General features: G+C 39.4%; 1 protein-coding gene across 12 annotated transcripts in view; it reads left to right on the forward strand.

Annotated features, from left to right (window-relative positions):
- The window catches only part of ST6GALNAC3 (ST6 N-acetylgalactosaminide alpha-2,6-sialyltransferase 3), a 562,594-nt gene that overhangs the window by 190,712 nt on the left and 357,944 nt on the right, over positions 1-13,938 (forward strand). The window lies entirely within an intron of this gene.

Consider the following 13,938-nt stretch of genomic DNA (forward strand, 5'->3'; position numbering starts at 1 on the left):
CCCTTCCCCTCCATGTCTTTCTCTCCCCAATTCTCTCAATTTGATAGGCTGTAAGAAGCTTCGTACCCACCAAATGCAACCATATTTCCCCTCAGCTCTTTATTACAAACATGCACTTTTATCAAAAATTTTTTAAAAGACTGAAAATGAGACTCAGAATCTTTTATTTATCACAGAATGGACCCTGGCTCAGCTGCTTATTGACTGCGTAACCTTGTTTGAATCAGTTTCCGTACTTAGAAAATAAGGAAAGTAATACTTGCCTCATAGAGTAATTGTAAGGATTAAATGAATATATAAAATCTCAAGCTTAGGGTCTAGAACGTAGTATTTTTTCATAAATGTAAGTCTCTGTGTTTCTCAAATAGTTGTGTGCATAGGTATCACCTACATTGCTTGTGAAAGCTTCAGATTCTTGTGCTCATTCCCGCTCCCTAAGGATTTTGGTGCATAGGACTGGTTAGGACCTAGGAATCTGCAGCTGCACAGGTAGATGGTCTGAGGATTATAGTTAGAAGTGCCATGCTGTAGGTTCAAAGCAAATGGGCTGTATAACACATTCTTCATAAATTTCTGGGTTATGGTCAAATTTCCTACGTTTTTCAGAGAAAGAAATTATAGTGTTCAGGGGGCACTTAACTGGAAATAGGTAGCAACAGAAAACTGGATGTTGTTGAATTTATTTATTAATTCACCGTATGTTATTGGGCACCTTCTCTTTGGCAAACTTTCCCATAGCTGCAGGGAACACAGTGATAAACGAGGTAGAGATGGAGGCAGAGCACTAAGTGAGTAACTCCTTTTCCTGGGAGCCCAGGGCTCTATTACCCAGGGTATGCTGTCTTCAGCATAAGGATGACTCTATCAAGTAGGTCTGTAGATACTTCCAAGTCTTTACTGCCGAAACTCTCGCCCTTGCCCTAGAAAGGTGTTGGGTCTCAAAGGGAGTTGTCTCAGAGGAAGGGCAACCTGCAGCCTTTATTTTATTGGGACCAGACCCAGCATCCCTGGCTCAGATTCAGATTTACTGTTCTTATCATCAGATGTGGAATAAAGGCTTCTGGAACAGCAGATGTGGTTTTCTACCTATGAAAGTAACATTCTCTAAAGCCTAGAGGATGGAACTTGATCTCTAGGGATAAAAGAGCAACAGTTGCTCTTAGGATCTTGTCTAACAATTGGCTTAGTAGGTGCTAACTCCAATTCTCATCTACCTGCTCCATCTTGATTTTAGCCACCCATCTAAGCTTCCACTTGCCACCCTTTCTGTGATTATGCCAGCCACCGACTGTGCTCTCTTTGGTCCCTCTTGGGGCAGAGACAATCCAGAATGTTGGGAATTACCTGAACTCTCATCTCATTTGTCTCTCCAGCCATGTGTTAGGCTCTGTGGCCACCCACAATCTCAGGCCCAGCTGTTCTGTAGGACCAGCCCTAAGTGGCCCAGAGAAATATTTTCTTTGGGTTATATCCAGTAAAAGGATATGCGGATATGCTCGGGTCTTGTTGAGAGGCAGCCTGGTAAATGGAGTGAAAACACTAGAAGCAGGCAATGCCAATGTGAAGTCCCTCTGCTCCAGCCAGCTTCCCAACCTTGGCCAAGTGCCCACTTTCTCAGGAGTATCCCACCTCCCTTCCAGACCAGAAATGCCGTAGGGCTTGACAGCCAATTTGCGCTCTCTTTCCTACATCCTGACCTCTTTGACTCAGGTCCCGGAACTTTTGATCCGCAATTATGAATCTCAATATACAACCCCTTGATCATGACCCCTTGCCTCATGGAACTCTCTGTCTCCTCTGTCTAGCCCCTGCTAAGCTTCGTGGACTTTGTCACTAATCTACTTCACCTATGGTCTTGCTAAGTTGCTTCCTCTGTCACCTCCCTTCCCAGCCCACTCGAGCTCTGTCCTGCCACTGTCCAAAGTCAAAAGAGGCAGAACTACCTTCCTTACTTTATTTTCTTTCTCCTCTACTTTGCTCTTTCTTTCTCTTTACCAGAACAGAGCATCTGCAACCACTCTCACTGCATTTTTTTACCACGTTTTCTTCAGAGTCTATCTGAAAATGAAATACAGATTTTTTTGATAAATATATTTTCATACTGAGGTTGAATAAGAATCTGATCTTTATGATTCTTAGACTTGAAAAAATATATATTTTCTGAAGGAAGTAGACTGTTATCTTCATTATCACCTCCGTAAAATTGCAAATGGTCAAAACCATAAAAAATGGCTTTGCTCTATGTGTAATAGGCAAATGAAGGGAATTCATGGCAACTGAAACCCTTGCTTTAAAGTCAGCTCTTTGTGAATGGAAAGCAGCTGATATTCTGTAAATCCTCCCCAGATAGGGTTTCTTACAGAAATACTGGCAGACTCTCTAATGACTGTGACTGCTTTGATATGAGGATGTGGTCAATATCTCAAGAAAAAAGACTGCAACTTTCTACCTTCTGCAGTATAGAGAAGAGAAAAGGAAGTATATGATGTTCTCACATCCATCTAACTGAGCAACCAAAATGCTTTATAATTTTTTAATTGATTTGTCTGGAAAGAGTCCGTTCCCTATAGGACTCACAGATCTCCATTTATGTAGGGAAGAAAATTGTAGTCCTATCCCCATGGCTGCTTGAAATTCCATTATTGATGTGATGAGCTCTTTGTTCCTCATTTTGATACAGATAAGATATTGAACTGAAGAAAATGCACAAAATATATCTTTCTCCACTAATAAACCGAGAAGTGGTAGTGGTGCCGTTTGTTAATTTGGGATTTATTTTGCTTTGCCAAATGGATTTGCCATTAATTTCACTAAGGCCACACAAAACTCTACATCAGTGACATGCAGAAATAGAGGTGAGATTGTCCAGTAAGTAGTTGCCAGAATTTGTCTTGATGATGCTTGATGCAGATTTAAGAGAGAGAAAGCAGATGCAGTGTGTTTCACTGGGGTGCCAGAGCCAGGGGGACTGAGACTGCCACAATGTGTGGGACCTTTCCTTTCTGAGCACAGCCTGGTGGCAGTCAGCCTTTCCCTCCAGCCCCCACACAAAACAAGTCGGTCAAGCCATGCACGAGTGATCTTGATTTGAAGAGAGAGAAAGAAATTTGATCCCCAAGTCTCAGAGCTGAGGTACTTATGCACTGAACTCCAAGAGGCATTTCATTTCTAACTAGCTTAGAATTTCCCACAGTTTGACAGCAACCCAAATAAAGAAAATACTTGAGGAAGCAAAGTAGATGTGCTGGAAGTTGAGGGCATTACCTGATGGCTGAATGAATTTGACAGGCTTTTCTCCTGTTGTTTTGACACAATTGTATTTTCCTCTACACCGCTGATGGAGTGCTCTGCCTAACCACGATGTACCCACCTTCCGTGGCTCAGCTGAGGGCCACTTTGTCAAATATCTCCATCTTACTCATTCCTCGCCGTGGCCCTCTCCCACCAGGGACCTCCCAGATCACTCTGTCACCCCCAAGACTACACATTTCGGCACTTTATGCCGCCTTGTCTTACCCTTTTTTTCATGTTTTATTGCTGCATGGCATTTAATGTTATTACTACAGCAAAACTGTATTTCCCTAGAGGGAGGGAATTTGACTTGTTCTGGTCTCAAACTCTAAACTCCGGTCAGTTGTGAAGAAGCCTGGAACCAAATTTGCAGCCCATCTCCAGGAAAGTGTATATAATTGTGTGGTGGATACTGTGGGTCATGACCCTACTCACGGCTCTATCTAATTGTTTCTTCTCCCTCTTCCCCCTTCCTCCTTGTTGTCAGTCTTTTCTAAGTTTCTTTCAATCCTTTTAGGGATTGTATGGAGTATAAATAACCTTCCATATGCTAAGCCAGAAGTTACCAACATGGGTGTTTCCTGACGCCAGGCAAGTAATGTAATATAATGACTCAGCCAAGGGAAGAGGGCAGGGCTTATCTCTGCACAGCTGCAGTCACTTGTGGCCATGCTGGAATGAGGGCCCTTTGTTGCCAAATTTTCAGATTTTTCAAGAGAAGTTAGAAATACAGAGTCTTAGGCAAACTTCACAATATTTAAACATAGACAGCTAAAGTATGGGAATATCCTTGGTGATTCCCCTAACCTGGAAAACATATTTGGGTGCCATATTCAGTTTGTGCACCACCGGTTTGCACAACCTGCTTTAAAGTTTCATTTGGTAGGTATCCAGTTATAATGGAACTGACTCTCCTACTGTGGCTTTCTTAGTATAAGGCCACATGCCATGTGCTGATCAGCAAACGCTGTTGAAGGATTTTGAAAAGACTGGAAAAAAGAAAACTGGTTGTCTAGTTATCTGAAGACCCTGGGCTGTGTCACATCCACTATGAATACACCCTCCAAAATCTGAGACCTTGTTAATGAGCCCTGTCTTCTCTCCCAGATTCTAACTGCTCTTCAGCGTTGTGACTTAGAGGGGATGCCGTAATGCATGTGTGCCTGGAACCCAGGGAGGCAGAGGTCCTCTTTTTCACCCTAATGTGAAGCATGAAGTTAGAATCATCTCTGTGCTCCCTAATAGAGCCTCATGCAGAGCTGTTATCATTCTGGATAAGGGATTCATGGGCATTTGCATCCATACCCCCCAAATAGTGGTTCCTGAGAAAATTTCTCTGACATGCTGAGAAAAAATAAAGAATTCATAAAGTTGAAATTATTGAACTTATTTTGATATTAATGTACTTTTTTACTCTGGTTGTCCCAAAATATCTCATTGGGTATATTTACTTGACAAAATGAAAAGTTGGCAACTGGCCAGGCACGGTGGCTCACATCTGTAATCCTAGCACTTTGGGAGGCCAAAGCTGGTGGATCCCCTGAGGTCAGGAGTTCAAGACCAGCTTGGCCAACATGGTGAAATCCCGACTCTGCTAAAAGTATAAAAATAAGCCAGGCATGGTGGCAGGTGCCTGTAATCCCAGCTACTCAGGACGCTGAGGCAGGAGAATTGCTTGAACCTGGGAGGCGGAGGTTGCAGTGAGCCGAGATCGCACCACTGCACTCCAGCCTAGGTGACAAGAGTGAAACTCTGTCTCAAAAAAAAAAAAAAAAAAAAAAAAAAGTTGGCAACCTTAGAACAGTTCCTGTCATCTCTCTTTATTGTTTCATTTCTAAAAGAGTTTCATTTGGTTGCTACCCAGTTATAATGAAACTGAAATCCACAGTGGTCTGTGAAATCCAAGTCTGTGGCCAGATTTGAGCCACACCCTCAGTTAATGACAGGGCCGGGAGAGGGAGGGAAGGGTGGAAATGACCAGGAACACCAGGTACAGATAGAAAATGTCCATCCTCAGTAAGACGGGTCACCTCTGTGAGGGGTACGTGTCCTCATTCAGTCCATACTCAAAAGAGATGTATCCAAAAGCTGTTGTAAGCAGCTCAGGTTTTGGGGGCAGGGGCTGACCTTTTCTAGTCTTTGAAAGATAATGTATTACTCTTGAGAAATGTAGAATTTTATTGTCAGTGTGCTTGAATTCAGCAAACAGACCCGGAGATGAACCCAAGGGACAACGGGCTCAAAGAACATAGATGATACCATGGAACTTTGACCTATTTCATATGAGCATTCCTGGGCCTGCATTTGGGACTGGCTGCCTTGTTTGTTTTATAAATTGATCCTCATATTGATTCCTTACTTGATGGCTGTGGAAAAGAAGTCTCCTTCTTGTTTGAACTCATGTCTTTGTGAGCTGCCTTTATGCTTATTACATAAAAGTCTCCCTGATTCTTGTTGATTTGGCAAGAGACTTCCTTGCTGAGAATTTTGCGGGCTGTGGTATGGGTGTAAAGTGGTTTGCTGTAATGGAACAGCTTCCAGAAGAGAATCCGGTCTCCGTTTTGAAATGCCACTTCTTGGAACCAGAAGAATTTATTCTAGGAGGGAGAAAAGAATTATTGATAAGTTCATAATTATTCACAATTATTTATTGAGTACCCACTCTATACCAGGTTGTATTTTAGACACTAGGGCTATAGTAACCACTAAGCAAAATGCACAGAAATGCTTGTCTTCAGTGGTCCTATGCTTTATTGGGACAAAACAGATCAGAAACAAAATAAAACTCACAACATATAAGAACATTACATAGTATGTGAGAAGGAGACAATTCTATCTGGAAAGTCTAGCAGAGCAAGTGTGATCAAGAGTTTACAAGAAGGGATTGCTGTTTAAACCAGGGAAGTCAGATTAGGTGTCCTTGATTAAGTGATAGTTGAGTGACAGTGACAACTTTATTTATGCTTTAGAAAGACTACTCTGGCTGCTTTGGGAAAAGACTGCTGAAAAGCATGGAGACCTGTCAGGAACCCATTGCAAAAGTCCTTGCAGGCAGCTTGGAGCAGGGTGGTGGCAGTAGAGGTGGTGAGAAGAGGTTAGATTTGGGATGTATTTCAAAAGCAGAGCCAATGTGGATTTCCAATAAACTGGACCTTTTAATAAAGCTGAGAGAGACTTTACAGATCATTTAGACCCCTTCCGAGGCCAAGTAGGTAGCACAAGGGAGTGAAACTAGCTGCATGACAATAGAGGCTCTTAGAAACAGGGTGCATTGTCTTATTACATTAAAAAAATTAAAGCCGGGCGCGGTGGCTCACGCCTGTAATCCCAGCACTTTGGGAGGGTGAGGTGGGTGGATCATGAGGTCAAGAGATTGAGATCATCCTGGCCAATATGGTGAAATCCCAACTCTACTAAAAATACAAAAATCAGCTGGGTGTGGTGGTGGGCGCCTGTAGTCCCAGCTACTTCGGAGGCTGAGGCAGGAGAATCGCTTGAACCCAGGTCGAGGTTGCAGTGAGCCGAGATCGCGCCACTGCATTTCAGCCTGGGTGACAGGGCAAGACTCAGTCTCGGAAAAAAAAAAAAAAAAAAAAATTAAAACACCGTTCAAGCCAAATTATATCTGTAAAGTCAGCCTATGAACTTCTAAACTACATCCTGTAAGAATCAAACCCATTCTTTTTACAGATGAGAGATACGGGGTCTTACAAAGTTTATTGACTTCTCCAAGGTCATTAGAGGCAGAATCAGAATCGAAGCCTCAGGCTTCCTCATTTGTAGTTCAGAGTTCATTCATTCCATCTGTACTCGAACCATGAACAGCTTTTCCTCCTTGGTGCTGCTCTGAGTGGATGCCACCCATGTAGAATATTCTTTTATTTTCCCACTGGTGTAGCGTGATGGGTCCATTTTATTTTTCTCTTCATCTCTATCATCAGGTGTCATCTTTTAAAACTTGTGAGCCCTTGGCTGTCCCAGCCACCCCCAAAGAACACCCTTGGGATTTACTGATTGGCTCACAACAGTAATTGTGAGCAATGAAAGAATAGGCTAACTTAGCCTCCTCCCTAGTTTGGTTGATCACAGCAGAGAGAGGAAGACTAACAAAGAAGGCCTATATAAAATGGGAACTGAGGGCTATCTTTTGCTTTTGGCGTCTTGATGGATGCCTAAGGTGGATCAGTATTTGTGTAACATAACAGGGGTACTTTACCTGTGGGGAGAGGAGTGACCACTGAAAACACTGTTCAAAGGGGTCATTCATAGTCGTGCATTTATAAATTTTTTTAAAAATAGCTTTCTTTTCCTATTATAAAAGACATGTATCTTGGTATATAGAATAATTTGATATATTTGATAAAGAAGGTATTGCCTGGGAAAGGATGTTGAGAAGATTAGCTATCCAGGGGAACATTAAGTTGTATTTTCATTTTACATTGTTGACAGAAATAAAAACCTTCATGGATTAAAATTTAAACAGAAAATACTTTTAAAAACTCTAAGGAAATTTAACCAATATTTATATAGAGAAAGCTTTTGAAACTTTAAAAGCAATGAAAAAAATAGGAAAAAAAAACAAGTAAGATTTATCACATGAAAATTAAAACACAAACCCAGAAAAATATTCACAATAAATAGTGAATAAAAAGTTAACAACCTTAATGTGCAAAGTTATCTTTTTCTTGGATAAAAATCCCATGGCATCAAATAGAGCTGAGAGGAAGAGCTCACAGTTCATGAAAGAGGAAATACAAATATGGCAAGTAAACTTCCAAGAAAAGGTGGAACTTCCTAGTAATCAAAGAAGACAAGTTAAACTAAAATGAAAACCATTTTTTTTTGTTTGTCAGATTGGTAAAGGTTAAATAAAATTTTTAATACGTAAAGTCAGCAAGTTAAGACAGCAGACCTGTTTACATATGCCTGGTATTAACATAACGTGGCATATCGGTCTGAAAAGCAATATGGCAACATGCACTGAGAGCCTTAAGATGCTGATATTCATCAATCCATGAATCTCACTTTTGGTAGCAATCTAAATATCCGCTCGTAAGATGTATAAGTAATTTTTGCTATAGTTATGTTATGGAATGATGTATCTGGAAGTTTATTTCCCTCCACACATACTCTGTGCCACTCCTGTGCTTTATGGGAGTCTATTGTTAAAAATCTCACTGCTTCATCCAGTGGTAACATGTTTTATGGCCCACAGGTGAGAGTCCCATTTATCACAGAAACTTTGGAGTATACATAAAACTAAAAGAGAGAAAAAGACCAGCCATAATCACAACATTCGAAGTCAGCATAGCTAATATTTTCATATTTTCCTTTCTAATCTTTGCAAAGTACATTCATAGTTCAAGAGAGTTTTGCTTAGGTGTCATCTCTCAATAATAAAAACTTCTCAAACTATGGATCAATTATGCATATGTGCACCTGTGGGTACATTATACATTTATATATGATTATATATAAGCAAGTTTATGTCCTATTAGTCTCTGAACCTTTCCATCACATCTTAAATTTTTAAAGTTTTTATAAAAATTCTAATTTACCCTTTTAAATACATACCTGCTGTGTGACGGGATGTTAGAGAACCCAACTCTGTATCTATTTTAACAGCATGGTGGCTTATAGCAAGCATGGGCAATCTTTTATGACTTTGCCCCCAATCTCTCCCAATCTCCTGTAATTCAGGCATTTCACTTTGCTCAACCTTATCTCTGATCAGCCTCCTCACCCATTACTCATCATTTCACATCAGGAATCCACAAGTAAGCAATTCAAGAACCTTGAATGGAACATGAGTGAAAGCTATTTCTGCAGCCTAAACCCCTTCAATCAATACAAGAATGTCAGCAATTCTAGAGTCTAAACTTATTAAATTCTCATATTATTTTTAAAATGCTAGCCCCAGTCCTCTTTGTCTGATTTCTAATCTCTGAAAGAAACAGTAAATGCAAACATAGGTATTTTAAAGAGATAGGGTGGAGGGGGGTGCTTTTCCAGGGTACTCTCTTATCATTTTCCTGACAAACTTATGTGATTTAACAGTTACTGGTAAAACCTTTCACCAACAGTTTGTTACTGTGACAGCAGAAGCACTCAAATTCAGGGAATGTCGAACTTCATCTTGTGAATTCAGACCTGGCAGAAGACCATTTCTTCACTAGAAGTTGGAAAAATGTCACTCTCTGAGACTGCAATAAATGGAGCCCAGGGTTCTGCTTTGTGTACTGAGTGAGAGAATAATAGTGTGGTGTCCCTGTAGACAGAGAAGCTGACTATGCTCTACGGAGACAGTGTTTTCCAAGATGTGTTAAGTGCAATTCCAGCTTCTCGGCTTTTGATAGATGTTCCTCTAGAAATGTTCATTGCTCAAAGGCATTTAGGAAAAGATTCATTGCAGGACTTTAATATGCTAAGGTGCAATATGAATCAATAAGCACAAGTTGTAGCACACAACATTTAAACCTGTATGAGCATGAAACCCTTCTTCAAGGGAGACTAGTGTTTTCCAAGGCCTGCTTTGGGAAATTCTTCATTGGGCACTTTGCTTATGTAGCAGATTTGAATCTTAGTCTGTAAACTCAGATATGCAATAAATAGAACATTTCACATTTTTGAAATATTAAACTCTGATTTTGATGTCCCCATCCCTCCCAGGTGGCAGGAAGCTTAACTTTGGCCCTTCTTGGAGTTCTGCACTGACCTGTTAGTACCATGCCAAAATTCTGGTCATTGCTTATCTGTCACACTTGGCTAGTTGCCCCTTGACTCAGACAGGGCCCAGGATCCATCCTAAGGTCTTCCCTCAGGATGCTTCCTGGGCAATAATTGAGTCTCTACTGGTGGGGATGGGGTGTAATCTTTTTTTCTGTTTGCCTTCCTGATTCTCTCTCCCTGTACTCCAAAAGTCTTCCTGAGTATACCTAGCATTAGGTTTTACTGTTTTATTTTCTTAATTGATGGCTAGTATTTAAGAACATTATCTCCCTTCTGTATTATGTATTTTAAATAAGAGTATTTACTGTCTTGTATATACTTGTATTGTCTTGTATATACTTGTCTTGTAAGAGCATTTACTGTCTTGTATATCTGAATGGGTCACATGTAGTGCAAGCTTCAAGACTGGTTTGATTCAGCGGTTCAACAGTGTCATCAAAGTACTCGTTTCATTCTTCCTTAATGTTTTGTGACTGTGATATGACATTGAATCTGAGATCTATTCCTTTATGAAGGGGAAATAGCTAGCATTTCCAGGTTTTATATTTGCAACCCACATCTTCCAGTAGAGAGACACAATGGCTTTGGACAACTTTTCAGAATGTTAAACAATCCTTCTCTCGTAATAGCTTCCATCAAACCTCTACTAACATCTTATTGACCTTCATTGCATCACATAAGTTAAAATTATTCTGAAATATTTTATATATGTACTATATATATATATAACATTTAAGATATATGAAGAAAAATATAATGCGATTTCATAGCCCCCTTTTAAACTTCCTTAGCAATGCCTCCTATATCCCCTGACAGGGGCAACGTTTCTTTGTGTTTATCAATATTTTGCTTTCCTGTATAATTTTACCCTTTATGTATACAATCCTAAACAATATATTTTTTAGTGTTGCATGATTTTAGATTTTGTGATAATGATATCATCTATGTGTATTTCTTCTGCCACTTGCCTTTTTGATTCCACATGATTTGTGAGATTCATCCATGCTGGTGGATGAATCTATTTCTTAATTTGTACTGTGATATAGTATTCCATTGTGTGATTAAGCCACAGTTTACTTATCTATGTGTTGTTGATAAACTGTTAAGTCGGCTCTAGTTTGGGAGTGTTAGGAGTAATGTTGCCAATCTTCTCTTATACATTGTTGTGCCTGCATGGAAGGGGTGCCCAAATGTACATACATATATAAGAATGGCATTGCCGAATGAAACCATGAACAGTCTTTAATGTTACTATATAATGCAAAATTATTTTCCAAAATAGAATAATATTTTCAATATAAGTAGAATATAAGAACTCCTGTTTTTCCACATCTTTGCCAACACTTGGTTTTGTCAGCATTTAAAAAAGTTGTCAAATTGGTGTGTATGAATTTATACTTTACAGTTCAATTTACCATTTTGGCAAATCAATTAGGCTGAGAATATTTGCATTTTTAATTGATATTTTTATTTCATCTTTTGTGAAATGTCTGTTTATGATTTTTACCCATTTTGATTTTGTGTTGTTTTCACCTTCTTAATGGATTTGTAGAAGTTCTTGTATGTTCTGCTTACTAATCCAGGGTCAGTTATACATGTTGCAATATCTTCTCCCAATTTGCAATGTACATTTTCACTTTTTGAGATAAATTCTTTTAATAAACTAAAAAAATAAGGTGGTCAAATTATCAAACTATTCCTTATGGTTGATATTTTGTTGTCTTATTTTTAAAATTATTTTCTACTCCAACCTCATATATATTTGTGTATGCCTATGTGTGTGTGTGTATTTACATATGGGCTTATATATTTGGGCAATGTGGTACTGATATATTTGGGCAGTGTGGTACTGACACAAAGACAGACCAATGAGACACAATGGAAAGCCCAGAAATGAATCCATGCATATATGTAAATTTGGTAGATGACATTACAGATAACTGGGAAAAGATAAGTGGAAACAATTAATTTCTATATTCAAAAAATAGATGGAATAAGACCCCCTCCTTCATAACAGGTCAATTAAAGACATATATGTATATGTTTATGTGTATATATATATATATATATATATATATATATATATATATACACACACACATATGTTTATGTGTATATATATATATATATATATACACACACACACACACACACACACATTTCTACATATGTAGCTGTATATACACGAATATACACATATATGTCTTTAACTTAACGTGAAGGAGGAGTCTTATTTCATCTGTGTTTTAATATGGCTAATAATTGTCTCAGCATCATTTACGTTTCCCAATAATCTGTAATGGTATCTCTGTCATCTACCAAATTTCCCCATATGCCTGGATTTATTTCTGGGCTGTCTGTGGTGTGCCTTTGGTCTGTTGTCTTTGAGTCAGTACCATATTGCCACTAGCTTCTATACATTTACAATGAGCTTTAAGTCTGGTTACACAAGTCTCCTCCCACATTCTCACGCCTAGACCTTATTCTTCAGGAATGTCTTGGTCATTCTTGGCCTTTTGCATTTCTACAGAAATTTTATAATAATCTTGGAGATTTTTAATATTTTTATGAAATTTCATTAAATTTATAGTTTTGGGGAAGAGTTGGTATCTTTGTAACATTATAATGTTGAGTCTTTCTATCTATATTTCTATCCAAATCTACTTATTTAGATCTTCACTGTCTTTCGTCACTATAATAAATGGTATCTTTCAGTATCATGTATTCTCATTATTGCTAGGCATTCTTTTTTTTTTTTTTTGAGATGGAGTCTCGCTCTGTCATCCCAGGCTGGAGTGCAGTGGCGCGATCTCGGCTCACTGCAAGCTCCGCCTCCCGGGTTCACGCCATTCTCCTGCCTCAGCCTCCCGAGTAGCTGGGACTACAGGGGCCCGCCACCATGCCCAGCTAATTTTTTGTATTTTTAGTAGAGACGGGGTTTCACCGTGTTAGACAGGATGGTCTCAATCTCCTGACCTGGTGATCCGCCCATCTCGGCCTCCCAAAGTACTGGGATTATAGGCTGCTAGGCATTCTTTTTTTTAATGGATTTCAGTGTTTAAAGAATTCAAGAAGAGCCTTTGATATCTGGTTACCTCTACTTTTTGAGGAAACCAAATCCCTGATGCAGAGAATGAAAGAGTTTGTCTATCTGCTTGAACGGAGAAGAAAAGAAAAATAAACAGAAAATGTTGCAATTTGAAAGTAATTTTAGTAAATTTGCCTGCCACACCTACATAATCTTATTTAATCCTCACCACAACGTTCGAAGTTAGGTGTTATTTGTCCTATTTTCATGACAAGGGAAACCAAGGTTTAGGAAAGCCAAGTAATTTACTCAAAGTCACAGAGCGAATGTGTTTATGGTAAAGCCAGGATTTAAAATCAGGTGGATTTCACACCAAAATAGTTCTGTTCATCGCGTAGTACTTTCCCTCGGGCAAGAAGAATGTTCACAATTTTCTAAGCATTTGAGTACAATGACCGGAATGGATAATCCTTTCTGTAGACAATTATGTGGCTCTGTCTCCCCTCACTAAGGTCAGCAGACATTTGATACAACTTTATCCATCTCTTCTTGTCACTGTTGCTGGCTGAGGGGGCCACTTGGCTCCCAGGGAGGAGATTTTGCACACCTGAGGAAACAGACAGCAGACAGCACCAACATGCTTCCCCTAGACTGCATTTGGACACACACAGCCAGGCAGGGGAACTGAAATTGTAGAGCAGCAGTCTGTGTGGAGTCATTTTAATGTTTTCTTAAACAGTCAGTGATGGAAAACTTTGATAACAACTCAAGTGAAAGCTTATGGCTGCGAAAAGCCTCCTCTGTGGATCTGACTGGAAAGGATTCTCTGCTGAATATGGCTTAGATGCCTGAGCCCCGTGTTCTTTGGTAAGAAAATTACCGCAAGTCAT

The sequence above is a fragment of the Homo sapiens genome, chromosome 1, assembly GCF_000001405.40.
Source record: "Homo sapiens chromosome 1, GRCh38.p14 Primary Assembly".
Classification (NCBI taxonomy): Eukaryota; Metazoa; Chordata; class Mammalia; order Primates; family Hominidae; genus Homo; species Homo sapiens.